At 38.4% G+C, this 13791-nt stretch overlaps 1 protein-coding gene across 3 annotated transcripts in view; it reads left to right on the forward strand.

The window, feature by feature from the left end:
- The window catches only part of MYL12B (myosin light chain 12B), a 16329-nt gene extending 5977 nt beyond the window's left edge, over positions 1 to 10352 (forward strand). For 2 of the 3 annotated variants that reach the window (NM_001144944.1, NM_001144945.1), the window contains exons 2-4: positions 4775 to 4973; positions 9144 to 9305; positions 9656 to 10175. In NM_001144944.1, the coding sequence (NP_001138416.1) occupies positions 4790 to 4973; positions 9144 to 9305; positions 9656 to 9828 (519 nt within the window). In that variant the 5' untranslated portion in view covers positions 4775 to 4789 and the 3' untranslated portion in view covers positions 9829 to 10175. Of the gene's footprint in view, positions 1 to 4774; positions 4974 to 9143; positions 9306 to 9655 lie in introns of all 3 variants that reach the window. The other variant, NM_033546.4, reaches the window with a different exon arrangement.
- Positions 10353 to 13791: the final 3439 nt, after the last annotated feature.

Genomic DNA, 13791 nt, shown 5'->3' on the forward strand with positions numbered 1-13791 from the left:
CTGGTTTCAGGCATCCACTGGGGTCTTGGAATATATCCCCCTCAGATAAGGAGGGACTGCTGTATCAATTCCTACATGCCTGCCTTTGATGTAACCTCTGAGTACTACTTATATCCTGTAGTTCACTTTGTATTAGAAATTTATAGCAATATCAGAGTAACAGTGTTGCAGAGGAAGGAAGAAGTGTTTTTACTGCTATTGAGGGTTATTACATTCATTTTGTGCTGTGTTCTGTATGGCTATTTTCTGTCTGTAAGGGTTGGATTAGTTTTTTGTGTTTTTGTTTGTTGTTGTTTTTGAATGCTTCTTGGTTAAACATTAATAAATTGGACAGTCCTAGATCAAAGTTTCAAAGGAAAGCCATAACTGATAGTTGCCACCTGACTAAACCCAACCAGGGCTACTACACTGCACAGTTCCAGGGAGTGCCACTCACATTTCATTTACTCACTGCAACTCTATTCTGTACCTTGGTTTTTCTGGTGTAGATTGACTTGATTTGAAAACTCAGTTTGTCTAGGATTTGAATTTAGAGGATTGTAGGTGCTCAGAAATCAGTGTTGAATTATATTGGTGGCATTGCAAGTTTTAAAAAATTTTGTGCTGAACTCAAAATAATTAGAAGAGTATTTAGTAGGAAGTAGAAAATATACAAGGAGAAACAACCTGTAACAAATGGGATTTGAATCCTAGCTCTGCCACTAGGTGACCTTGGGCAAGATTATTTAATATCTTTGACCTTCAGTTTCTTCATTTGGCAGGTGGGCATGTTTCATTTAATGTACATAATGTTTCTAGCACATGAGTCACTTAATAAATGGTAGTAGCTGTAAGTTGAGTAGATCTTTAATTCTCTCTCTGTTCCTAAGGCAGAGAAGTAGATCAGGGCAACTGGGGCTGGAAAAATAGCAGGAACAAAGATATACAAGATAAGATGTGGCATGGTACCTTGGGGACATTTGCAGTTTGGTGTTGCTAAAGGAAAAGTACAAAGCAGGGAATGGCTAGAGAGGAGGCTGGAAAGGTCATTCTAGAGTAGGGAAAGGAAGACTCATGCACCATGTTTAGGAACTTGGTACTTTATCCTTTAGAAAGTGGAGAGCCAAAGAAGATTTTAAAAAGTGGAATGATGAGGTCATATTCATGTTTTAGACAGCCCTGCCTAGAAAACTAAGGGTAGTTTTGAGAGAGCCGAGAGGCAAGGGGATAGTGAAGAGGCCATAGAGATATTTTACACAAGAGATAATGAGGATCCAGTTTAGGGTGATGACAGAGGAATGAGGAAGATGAGCAACTCTGAGAAATATTTCTCAGAGGCAGGGCTTGGTTCATCAGGGAGAGGGATTGGGGAGGGTGACTCCTAGGTTTCTGGCTGCTGGGTAGATGATTGGAAACAAAGATGGTAAAGTTCAGGAGGGGAGAGATAATTGAGTTTTCAGCATGTTGATTATGAGTGTCTGTGGCATATCCAGATGGGTGCCTTTCACAGGCATTTGGATGTTTGAGTCCAAGGCTCCAAGGAAAGGTCAGGCCTGGAGGTTCGGATTTAGGAGGTGCAGGCATTGTCATAACAGTGAAAGTTGATGAGATCATCCAAGGAATGAAGACTGAAAAGAACTTTAAACCATGTGCTGCTAGAATACTGGGAAACATGAATATTTAAACGGAGATAAACATCTAAGAGGAAAATGGAGGAGGAAATCTTAGAAATAGGAGAACTGAGCTAGAGTAAGTCAAATACACCATTTTACATAATCAGTCTTTCCAATATAATGCTTAGCAGTCTTCCTGATTAGAGCGTAAGTTCTTCAAGGTTGGGACCCTTTCCACCTGGGAAAGTTCATTTCTACTGTTATGGAGCACCAGGCTAACAGTGGCTGTCTCTCCAAAGAAAAGAGGGATAAAATAGTGTGATGCAGTAGACTGATCCAAGAAGATTTAGACCAGATTTGGCAATTAAAGCAGTTGCAGTAGAGAACAGAAAGCCAGATTGTGGTGGGTTGAAAAGTGAGTGGGAAGTGAGAAGGTGGAGGAAGCCAAGATACTTATTTCAGAAGGGAAGGAGAGAGGGTGGTAATTTCTTTGGGGGCCAGAGTTCCCTTCAGATTGATTATTTTGATGCAACTTTGCCTCACTTTTCAGCTGATACTGTATGTGTAGTTTTTATAGGTACCATATACGTATACAAATGTACCACTGTTTTTAAATGAAGTATGAAAAAAATTTAAAATATAGTATTACTACATTGAGCCTATATCTGCTCTAACATATTTTGATTGGGACCAGTTAGTGAATTGTTTTTTGTTCTCTTCCATCAACTTGCCTTCTGTTTCCTTCTCTTGGGTGTCACCATCAGATGGTGATGGCTCTTCTAGTTATCAGGCTAACTAACTCCCTATTCTTTCTCACAGGCATTTCCCCTAATAAAATCCTTGGGTGTTTCATTCTGTCTTGGTATCAGCTTCTTAGAGAACTCGGACTAAACTTCAAAAATGTTTAAATATAGTATATTTTTGGGTTAACTGTAGAAGTAGCATGATACAATTGACTGATTCTGATTTGATTTGATTTGATTTTTTGAGACAGTGTCTCGTTTTGTCACCCAGGCTGAGGTTAGGGGCACCATTACGGTTCACCAGCCTCGACCTCCCAGGCTCAAATGATCCTTCCACCCCAGCCTCCCAAATAGTAGCTGGGACCACAGGCATGTGCCACCACACCTGGCTAATTTTTTAAATTTTTTGTAGGGACAGAGTATCACTTTGTTGCCCAGGCCTATCTCAAATTCCTGGGCTCAAGCAGTCTTCTGGCCTCAGCCTCCCAAAGTGTTGAGATTATAGGTGTGAGCCACCGCACCCGGCCTGATTCGTTTTTAAAAATAAATATTTAACTCTTTTGGAACTTTTTCTAAATAACTCGATTACAAAAATTACTTGCTGATACTGAGAGAGAACTAATAATTTTTGCCTTCAGATGTATTTGACTAATCTTGAAGAAATTGAGTCAAAATTTTTAGCATGAGAATGAACCTTAATCTAAGTTTTGGTATGTGAAGAAGAATGAAAACATAATCAAATGCCTTGTTAGTAGACTACATTCTGTCTCTGATTTAACCTTCGATATAACTAAGGTCAAATAACAAACTAAGTTACAAGGAAGAGAAGAAAATTAACATTTATTTAGGACTTGTATATGGGGAGGGTAAGGAGTTGGAATGTTAGAGTAAGGACTGTAAGGCTGGTGTACTTCAAAACAACACCACTAAGCCAAGCTTCAAAACACCCTGTGGGATGTTCTTTAGCTTGAATAAATAGAAGTAGACAATACATTTATATAAAAAATCCCAATACCAGAAGTCCTGGAGACTTAGGTCCAAAATCCCCTTGCTCAGTCATTGACCTCTCTAGTCATTTGTTTTTCACATTGCAGGAAGTTACGGAAACAGTCTGCAAGACCATCATTTCTGACAGCAGTTTCAAGTTTGGATGTCCTAAGACCACCCTTGCGTTTGATTATTTGCTAAGACTCACAGAACTCACTGAAAGCTGTTAGGCTCACAGATACATAGGTTTTCAGAGGTTATATGTAGCTAGTAACGGTGGAGCTGAGATTTGAACTCAGGACTTCCTAACTCCAGAGCTGATGGTATTTTTGTGTTTTATTTATTATTTAAAACTGCAAATTAAAAATGAAATGACAAGTGCCTTTTCTGCTTGACATTTAAATTATTGGTGGCTTTCAGTAGAGTGTTGGAAGCTACTACCAAAGCCATATTACGGAGAATGGAGGAATGATTGGGAAGAAGAGAAAAGGGGCTGGGCACGGTGGCTCATGTCTGTAATCCCAGCAGTTTGGGAGGATCTCGAGCCTCAGAGTTCAAGATCAGACTGGGCAATATAGTGAGAAACCCCCCATCTCTAAAATAAAAAACAGAAGGAAAAATGAAGACAGTTCAGCATTAGACTGGTATTCTGAAAGTCTTGTCAAGGGAAAAGGGAAATGCAGGGATAGCTAGAAAGATGAAAGGGTGGGTTTGATATTTATAAAGATGAGACCTTTTTTGAACATGACTAGTCTTTTTACATATGTTATCTCAATTAGTTCTTTGCATTGAAGTAGATATCATGTTTTACTGATGAAAAATTGAGGCTCAGAGAGGTTATGTTATACTGGTAGTAAAATGGGAATAAGAGTACCTACCATAGGCAACTGTTGTGAGGATTAAATGGGGACAGTCTTTGTCAGAGTAAGAAATCAACTTTGGAGACTTTCTCTTTGAGGAAGCCCTATGCCTTCATAACAGTGCTTGGCCAGAGTAAGTACTCCATAGATGCTAGCTATTGTTAGATATTTTAAATTCTCACTTCATAAAAATTGATCCCCTGAAGTTTAGGACAAGGTACATCAATAATTTCTATTGTGTTTCTTTCTTTTTTAGAGATGGGAGTCTCACTATGTTGCCCAGGCAAGTCTCGAACTCCTAGTCTCAAGTGAGCCTCCCACCTTGGCCTCCCAAAGTGTTGGGATTATAGGCATGAGCCACTGGTGTCTGGCAAATTCTGTTCCTTAATGTTTCAAAACTGCTTTTTTTCCACTCAGTCATTTAATTGTCACATTGAAAATAAAGTTTAGGTGCATACTTATTCCTACCCAATTGAAGTAATAATTCCTTATTGATATTTTTACCTACAGACTTTAGGTATTATGTATTCTGTTTTTGCTTTGTTTTATACATTGTTTTGTTTTACGTTTTTGTGTTTTTTTTTTAATCCAGAATTAAACAACCACCATGTCGAGCAAAAAGGCAAAGACCAAGACCACCAAGAAGCGCCCTCAGCGTGCAACATCCAATGTGTTTGCCATGTTTGACCAGTCACAGATTCAGGAGTTCAAAGAGGCCTTCAACATGATTGATCAGAACAGAGATGGCTTCATCGACAAGGAAGATTTGCATGATATGCTTGCTTCTCTAGGTAGACTTTATATTCTTTATTTGTATTTTCCCTAAAATAATAATTTGTCTCTTTATGAATCTTTTTTTTGTGCGATGTACAAATATTTCTCTCCTTGTCTCAAAAGGCCTCTGGAGAGATTTCTGGGTGTGGGAGGTGCTATTTTGGGGCTTGGCCAGTCATATGGAGATAAGCCTACAAGGTTGGGGACCTGGCAGATGCTGTGCCCGGGTAGGCTAATGTTCCTGTTAGCTAAATTTTTTAGGTCTCTAGATGGAAAGCCAGGGCATGGCTAGGCAGCAAAATACCAGAGTTTCAAACAAGTGTAGCTAAATAATATACTTAATAAAGGTTGAGTACAGGTTATAAACAAGGAGTGACAGTAAGTGATGATGGTTATCTCTGGGAAGGAGGGGCAGTGCGACTGGAAAAGGGAACACAGTGAAGAAGACTTTCACAATATTTTGTATGATTTTTTTAATAACTAAAATGTAAAGATACAGGATTTAAAGCACACATAAACAGCCATTTGTATGTTGGTATATGGGTGTTAATATTCCTTGTATGATTTTGTTATTGTTTCTTAACATGCATCCTACATGTTCTGGCCAGAGTCAGCAGTTAATTTACAGTTGGGAGTCAAGGAACTGCAGGCAAAGGAGACCTTGATAGGCCAAAGCGGAGGGGGTGAGGCAGGCTGGGAGTGGGTCAGGGATGGCCTACAGTGAGACTTTGCGCTCTGTCCTCCTGCTTGGCTGACTGGCCAAAAAGGCAAAGAAAGAGGTGGGGGTTTTTTTTTTCTCTCTTTTAATGCCTACAAAATGATCAGCTAGCTTTTATTCTTCTAACTTTTGATTTTGATTATTTCTCCTAACACATTGAAAGTAAAGTTTAGGTGTGTACTTATTCCTATCCAACATATGATTTTGAAAACTTTTAAGCCTACAAAAAGTGGAAAGAACATTATAGTGAACACCTATACATCTTTAGCTATATTCACTGATTGTTAACATTTTGTAACTTTTCTTTATCTAGGGTGAGAGTAGAATCAAAGATTTTTATCTGATTTGTTGACTTGTAGTTAGATTATAACCTAGTGTTTCTCACATTCAGAATGTCTGAGTATGTTCTTGGGCAAGTCAGTACTGAAGAAGGCCTCTGAGGAAAATTGAGGAATGTAGCCATCTTCCAAAGATTGAACTCTCAAGTCTATACTCTGCTTATAATAGATGCTCAATAGATATTTGTTGAACGAACAAGTCATGGTAGAGTCAGAGGTTGTCTTTGAGACCTTCTGTTTTGCAGAAACCCATCCTTTTAAAGATACGTGTTAAAAGAACAATTTCAGCCTAATTAAATTTAATGGAGTTTAATTGAGCAATGAACAATTTGCGAATCAGGTAACCCCAGAATCACAGCAGATTCACAGAGACTCCAGTGCAGCCACGTGGTAGAAGAAGATTTATAGACAAAAAAAGGGAAATGACGTACAGGAATTGGAAGTGAGGTATGGAATGGCTTGATTGATTACAGCTCGGCATATGCCTTATTTGAACATGGTTTGAACACTCAGCAGTGTATGAATGGTTGAAGTATGGCTGCTGAGATTGGCCAAGGCTTAGCAGTTGTTACAGGCTCATACTCCTAAGTTAGGTTTTCAGTCTTGTCTGACTATTAAGCTAGGTTATAATTCATTCACAAGGACTCAACTGTAGAAGTACGGAGTCTTTCTCAGGCCATATTTAGTTTGCTTTAACATATGTATTTACCTTTTAGGGGAACCTTCATACATTATTGGTAGGAATGTAAATAAGTACAGCCACTGTGAAGGACATTATGGAGGTTCCTCAGAGAACTAAAAATAGGAGCTCTCCCATATGATCCAGCAATCCCACTGCTAGGTATATACCCCCAAAAAAGGAAATCAGTAGTATCATTGAAGAGGTATCTGCACTCCCATGTTTATTCCAGCACTATTCACAGCAGCCATGATTTGAAAACACCGTAAGTGTCCGTCACCAGATGAACGGATTTTAAAAATGTGGTACTTATGTACAATGGAATACTGTTCGACCATAAAAAATGAGATCCTGTCATTGCAGCAACATGGATGGAATGGAAGACATTATGTTAAGTGAAATAAGCCAGGCACAGAAAGACAAACTTCACATGTTCTCACACACTTGTGGGAGCTAAAAGTTAAAATAATTGAACTCATGGAGATGGAAAGTAGAAGGATGGTTATCAGAGACTGGGAAGGGCAGGGAGAAGAGTGGGAACTGTTAATAGATACAAAAGTATAGATAGAATGAATAAGATCTAGTATTGGATAGAATAACAAGGTGACTGCAGTCAGCAGTAATTTGTTGTACATTTTAAAATAACTCAGTATAGTTGGAATGTTGGTAACACAAAGAAATGATAAATGCTTGAAGGGATGGCTATGCCATTTACCTTGATGTGATTATTTTGCATTATATGCCTGTATCAAAGTATCTCATGTACCCCATAAATATATACACCTCTTGTGTACCCAAAGCAATTTAAATAAATATGAATTTTTAAAAGATACGTATTTACCTTTCAAATCAACAGATTACATTGGATGTCTTGAGCGGGTCCATAAGTGCTTAGCCTAAACCAATTCATTTTAAATCCCTGTAACTTTTTGTACCCTAGCGTTCTCTTCACACCTTTTGGTTACAGTTTTTCTTCCCCCCAAAAAATGCTGCAAGTGAGTTGGGTTAAATCTGGAGGTAGAAAAGTAGATCTTTTTAGCTACTTTAACTTATTCAGTGAATCTTGAGTTTAATTTTGGGCTAATTTTGATATTGGAACATTGAGTAAGTGTAATCAGGTAGGACTGCAATGCAGTGAAATAGATGCCAACATGATGTTTACATTTCACCCAAATTCCCAGAATTAAAACTTACATATGAACTATAATGGTAGCTTTGATTGTCATTCTAGCTTTGACTTAGTTGGGTATAATTTTGAGATGGTTCCTTAGATATGAATATCTGACTAATAGATGTTCTTTTCATGTAAAATCATATAAACTTAATGTTGGAAGATACCTTTGAGATACCAACTTTAACCAGTCAATGTTAGACTTTTTTAAAAAAAGAAGTAAATTCTACATAAGGCAGCACTGAACGAAGGATCTGGAATACTGGGTTTGAATGCCAGTTCTGCCACTTCCTCCTATATCACACAACCAGTGGTAGAACTGGGATTCAAACCCAGTATTCCAGATCCTTGGTTCAGTGCTGCTTTTCCCACACCACGGGGCCTCAAAAACACTCCCACCATGTCTGGCCATTCCAGGGAGATTTCTTTCAGCTCCTAGGGAAAGGTCAGGGGAGTTCCCTCACCACTGCACTAAAAGAAGTGTTCACACTTGGAATGGAGATTAAGATTTCCCATTACAAACAATACCAAAGAAGACCACAGTTCAATGACATGTGTAAACAGTGTTTGAAGATATCTAACATTGTTCAAAATAAGCTGCCAATTCAAAACCATGCTAATAGTTTAAACTTAAATGGCCAACTTATAAATACAACTTTGAAGCATATCAACTTATGGGCATCTGTACCACAACTGGAAGTGTGAATATTTAGATTTTTTTGTATGACTGGTATTGAACTGACTCCCCGATGGACCATTGATGTTATCAACATTCAGGATGTAGGCCGGGCGCGGTGATGCACGCCTGCAATCCCATCACTTTGGGAGGCCAAGGCAGGTGGATCACTTGAGCTCAGGAGTTCAAGACCAGCCTGGGCAACATAGTGAAACCCAGTCTTTACAAAAAACAAAAAATTAGCAGGGCATGGTGGCACATGCCTATAGTCCAAAAAAAAAAAAAAAAAAAAATTAAGATGTAATAATGTGGCACTGCCTGGCTTCAGGTTTTTGTTTTGTTTTTAATGAAAAATAATGAACAGAAAGTTCACATAAACGAATAAATAACCTTCAATATAAGCCTGGAATACATTTTTATAATGATGTATCCAATATTTTTTAAGTTGTCAAAAATAATCTTTTTAAAATGTTCTTAAAGTTAATTGAAAAATTAGTTTCAAATGATGTACATTTTAAAAATATGTTGGGGAGCATAATAATAGTGAAATAACTATTGAAATTAAATGTTTTTGTCTTTAAATGTTAAAATGTGTATTCTTACAGGGAAGAATCCCACTGATGCATACCTTGATGCCATGATGAATGAGGCCCCAGGGCCCATCAATTTCACCATGTTCCTGACCATGTTTGGTGAGAAGTTAAATGGCACAGATCCTGAAGATGTCATCAGAAACGCCTTTGCTTGCTTTGATGAAGAAGCAACAGGTGAGTGCTATTTGTTTATGCCCAGCCTCATTCCACACTATATAAAGTACTTCTGTGAAATAGAAGGGGTTTTCTTTTTTTACCTTTAGAAAATATTTGCTTAAGAATAATTTTGTAAGCATATGATCTGTTTCTGAGCTTTTAAATGATTTGATCTAATATTAACACAGAACTCTAAGAATAATTGGAAAACATAATGATATAGTTCATATAGCCTTAGTTCACTAACTTACTTTGTTTATAGATATGGATATTCTGAAATATTTTATACGATTGACAAGCTTTAGGAATGAACCATCAAAGTGCCAGGAAGTATTGATGACTGCTTTCTTCTTTCTATTGTCTTCCAGGCACCATTCAGGAAGATTACCTAAGAGAGCTGCTGACAACCATGGGGGATCGGTTTACAGATGAGGAAGTGGATGAGCTGTACAGAGAAGCACCTATTGACAAAAAGGGGAATTTCAATTACATCGAGTTCACACGCATCCTGAAACATGGAGCCAAAGACAAAGATGACTGAAAGAACTTTAGCTAAAATCTTCCAGTTACATTGTCTTACTCTCTTTTACTTCTCAGACACTTCCCCCACCCTCATAGAACCTGTTGCATGCAACTTAGTTTCACAGCTTTGCCTCTTCTTTTTGATGTATTTATTCCAGACCTTTCTGCCACTTAGCACTTGTATAATCAGACTGGAAATGGGGATGAGGGTGTAAATTGTATTGAAAAAGATCGCGAATAAAAATCAACAAATGTGAAAGCCCAGAAAAATATATTCGTATTTCTGGTTTTGCTGGATTTTTACATTTTTATATAATAAAAATGTTATTTTGAAATAAAGATTATGCTGACTCAAATGCAATGTAATGGCAAGTTAAACAAATGATTGATAGGTGGGGGTAGTCCTTTTTTCAGGTTTTCAACTTCATATGATTCAGGTTTTATGGTAAAATTGATTTTTCACATATATGGGACAGTGTTCTTCAGAACTTTTAAGTACCCTTTAACATTATTATGCAGTAAAAACTAGTTATGCCATTGTTTTTCACGCTTCTAGTCAGATGTTTATTAAATGATAAATATAGAATGTATCTGGGAAAACATTAAACATTGCGTTCATCTAAGATTCTGAGAAGAGGCAAAATTCCGAAGATTAGTTATTGTACATTTACTATATGTGGAGCGTTGTGCCTACACAATTTTTCTTGAATCTTCCCAACAACCTTGTGGGATTTTTATTAGCCCTGTATTTCAAGTGGGAGGACCTAGCATACTTGAGCAGTTGATTAGGGTAACTATTAGGACATGAGTTGGAATTCCAACCTAGGGCACCTAACTTCAGAGCTCACAGTGCTGGAACCACGATACTGTCTCTGAAAAGCCCCAAATGTCTAAAAGAGTCAAGACATTTCTGTTCTATTATGATACAATTCTGTGGTCATTATTGAAATTTAAAATAATCTTGGGGTAATTGATGATTGGAACAGAATTTCAGAAAATTCTATTCCAGGTTAAAATAAACAATACTATTGTGTGTTTGAAGGCACTTCATGTAATATATAGACTAGAAAAGAGCCGAAAGACAAGGTTGCTGTGAGCTCAGAATCCTCAAGGCCAAGCAATACGAGAATAAAGAGAACAATCTAAAAAAGGAAAAAATCCGTTTTAAAAAATTACCCAACGTTGTTCAATACCGATTTCCCCTCTTAAAAGTATTGTGATGGTATTTTGTCTGCTTAACACCAAAGCATTTATATGTTGTTTAATATTGGTGCTTTACAACTTGGGGCAGTAGGCTGGTCTGTATTCACTTGCTAACAATTTGCCTGGGCTTCCTTTTATCATTAGAATGAGGGAGCAGCTCATATGAACTGTCACATTTATCACCCAATCCTCTTAGTCTCTGAGGTATCAGTTCTACTTTTTATTAATAGACCTGAAGTTTAGACTGAAGCTCCTGCCCAAGATCTAACAAATATAAGAATCTACATCTGGCTCTTTTTTCCACTTAGAAGCTTAAACTCACCACAATGTGTCACAAAACCAGGTGGAGAATTGTGTGTTTCACAGGAAACAGAAAAATACGGTGGGATAATCTTGATGATTATTGAACCATTGTCAACCACCTGTTATGTACCCTACACTGTTGTAAGGGTTGGGGATAACTGGGGGGTGGGACAGACAAGGATGCTGCCCTCGTGGGACTGCATTCTCTGCTGGCAGACAATCCATGTGCAATTTCAGGTTAAGTGCTGTGCAGAGAACTGGGCATGCATGACAGGGTGGTCAGGAAAGGCCTCTGGGTGGTAAGCTGAGATCTGAATGACAGGAAGGAGGTCCGGACCCATGTGAGGATCAGGGCGAGGCTGTCGTGTGGTAGGAGCATCGGGAGAGCACATGGATGATACGGGTCCAGGGAGGGTATTTGGAGCAGAGTCCTAATGTGAAATGCAGGGAAGAAAGGTGATTTATATTTTTAAAATCAGTGTTGGTGCTGTGTCTTGAATGGAGGGGCACGAAGAGAAGCAAGAAGGCCGGTATGGAGGCTGTTGCCGTCGTCCAGGCAAGAGGGGGCAGCATGGACTCAGGTCCAGGGGAGATAGCTATAAAACGCCTCTCCGGGTCCTATCTGTTTCCTCCCCTCCAGCTCAGCCTTGTTTCCATCTCTGGCATAATCGTAACTGTGCTTATTTTATTGATCTGCTTAAAGCCAGATTTGAAAAATTGAGAGAAAAGTTTTGAAGATTAAAAACAAAAAAACTTAGTTGTTTCTCGACTGCCTTACGTTTACCTGACACACTGTTCTGTTTCATCTGTATTATTTGTGAAGAGTGTTGTGGAATCCAGTAGTGGAAGACACCTGGGCCAAGACTTTGTTTCTTTTTGGTGTCCAGTAAATATTATTAATGATGACGATGAAAACTTTGTCTACTTAATATCTCCTTTTGAGAACCACATAGTGACAATCTCCTAAGTTGATGGTTGATTCTGTGGCCACTGCAGTGAGTGTGTGTGTGTGGTCACATAGTGAAAATGCACTGAGTATTCACTATGTACGAAGCACGTTACACAACTGCCCTTTGAGGTAGGTCTTTTTGGGTTTTTTTTGTTTTTTTTTTTTGAGACAGAGTCACTCAGGCTGAAGTACAGTGGCACAGTCTTGGCTCACTGCAACCTCCACTTGCAGGTTCAATCAAGCGATTCTCGTGCCTCGGCCTCCCAAGTAGTTGGAATTACAGGTGTGCACCACCACACCTGGCTAATTTTCGTATTTTTAGTAGAGATGGGGTTTCACTATGTTGGCCAAGCTGGACTCAAACTCCTGGCCTCAAGTGATCCGCCCGCCTCAGCCTCCCAAAGTGCTGGGATTACAGGCATGAGCCACCGCGGCCGGCCTGAGGTAGGTATTGTTATCCCTGTTCTACAAATGAAATGTCAGGGGGCAAGGAAGTAACTTCCCAAAGTTACACAGGGAATAAGCAGTGGGGCAGTCACCTGAGCGCAGGCAGTTGTGCTCCTCCCAAGAAAGTGATTATGGAAACACCGTCGATAGTTTCTTATGGTCATGAGCCAGTTTTACAAGCGTTTGTGAATTGTGCTTGATCCTCAGAACGCTAGGAAGTGGATAAAGTAGGAATTGTCATCCCATTTCACAGATGAGATTACTGAAGTTACCTGACCTGCTCAACTTTGTATAACTAAAGAAGCTAGAGAAATGTCGAGCTTCTAACCTTTTTGACCGAGATGGGTGCTTCTCATTAAACCTATAATTTCCTAATTACATAATTAGTACCTGTAGCCTGATCAGAATGTCTCACAATGTATATATTTAATACTGTCTATCCTACGAGCAGCAATTATACTGATTTGCATCTCAAAATTGATATGTGTTAAAATATAAGAAACAGAAATATAAAATAAATTTATATTTCTTAAATTATAAGAAACACAGTTTTTGAAATAGAAACATAAACTACTGAAAAATCGGGTATAAAAAGATCCCTTAGAAACATCATCTGGGAAATCTGAATGAGGATGTAAAGATTTATCACATACTAAAATTTCAAGAAAAGGTTTCTTGTATAGAAAAATGATGAAGATGATGGATTGCACATATCACACAGTCTCTTAAGTGGATCTTTTTTTTTTAGAATGGTTGTCATAGGCAATTTTAGAGACAATAACTAGAAGTGTCACTAGGTGGCACTATTGTTCTTAATATAGTACTGTCTTAACCCATTCCCTAATGAATTTGAGATAAAGCAGCCAAATCATGAGTATCTAGACAGCATTATTGTCAGTAATGCTGTGACTTTCTCAAAGTTGTTTCTTAAATAATTGATGAAAAGTCTTACAATTAAATTCATACTATTTCATGAGCCCCAAATGTAGGGAATAATCTCTAGGACTCCTTTTTACAAATATCAATGGCAAATTCCCTTCCCCTTCTCCACCCCTTTTGCCTTTTCCTTCCCCTTCCCCT

This window comes from Homo sapiens, chromosome 18 (assembly GCF_000001405.40).
Source record: "Homo sapiens chromosome 18, GRCh38.p14 Primary Assembly".
Lineage (NCBI taxonomy): Eukaryota > Metazoa > Chordata > Mammalia > Primates > Hominidae > Homo > Homo sapiens.